The 1,009-nt window shown below is 47.3% G+C and overlaps 1 annotated feature.

The window, feature by feature from the left end:
- Nucleotides 1-501: an enhancer, noted in NCBI's record as "H3K27ac hESC enhancer chr6:29622853-29623353 (GRCh37/hg19 assembly coordinates)". NCBI's record gives its function as "activates a minimal SCP1, AML or CMV promoter by ChIP-STARR-seq in naive H9 embryonic stem cells {active_cell/tissue: H9 hESC(naive)}" and the evidence as "EXISTENCE:reporter gene assay evidence [ECO:0000049][PMID:30033119]".

The raw sequence follows: 1,009 nt of genomic DNA, 5'->3' as shown, positions 1-1,009 counted from the left end.
GTGGAGGCATGTGGGAGCAGAGAGGGTCAGGAGCCTGCCGAGCCATCACAGCCACTTTGGAGAAATCACAGCATCTCTGAAAACAACAATAAAAAAAACTAACCACCTTACTGAGATATTCTATGTGCTGTGGTTCTAAGTGGTTTACTTGCATTAACACCTTTAATCCTCACAACAACAAAACAAATATTAAACTATTATCACCCATATCTTACAGGTGAGAAAAGGGAGGTACAAAAGAGGTAAAGGAACTTGCTAAAGTCACACCACTAGGGAGTGGCAGAGCTGGGATTTCAAGCCAGGCTTTCTAGTCCTAGAACTGGCTCTTTTAACCACCACAATACAAGGCCTCTGATGAGCTCAGCTTATTTACTTTCATGCCCTCAACTGCCTCAAATTTCCTGAAAGGGGAGGATTCCTGGAGCTGTGAGAGCAGTCCCTTGGCTGACATGGTCTTTGGGCAAAGGTGATATATACAAGGGAAGGCCAGAGGGGCCACCAGCAAAATGAAGCCAGTGGTGTTGCCACTTGCAGAAATCTGGGGTATAGGGGCTGGGCCCGCTCACGCCTGTAATCCCAGCACTTTGGGAGGCCGAAGCGGGCAGATTACCTGAGGTTGGGAGTTCAAGACCAGCCTGACCAACATGGAGAAACCCTGCCTCTACTAAAAATACAAAAATTAGCTGGGCATGGTGGCGTGCGCCTGTAATCCCAGCTACTCGGGAGGCTGAGGCAGGGTAATCCCTTGAACCCAGGAGGCGGAGATTGCGGTGAGCCAAGATCCCGCCATTGCACTCCAGCCTGGGCAAGAAGAGCAAAACTCCGTCTCAAAATAAAATAAAGAAATCTGGGGTATGGGAACATCAGGTATTGCCAGGAATAGAGCTCAGTGTAGATGTGTCCAAGAAGTGAAACCACCCTGTATCACCCTGGGAGCTGCTCATTTCTTTCAGCATTTAAATATTATTTTAATTGATTTTGTATAGCATATGTTATGAGATCCTGCAAG

This window comes from Homo sapiens, chromosome 6 (genome assembly GCF_000001405.40).
Source record: "Homo sapiens chromosome 6, GRCh38.p14 Primary Assembly".
Taxonomy (NCBI): Eukaryota; Metazoa; Chordata; class Mammalia; order Primates; family Hominidae; genus Homo; species Homo sapiens.
This window is presented reverse-complemented; position numbering and strand designations above follow the sequence as displayed.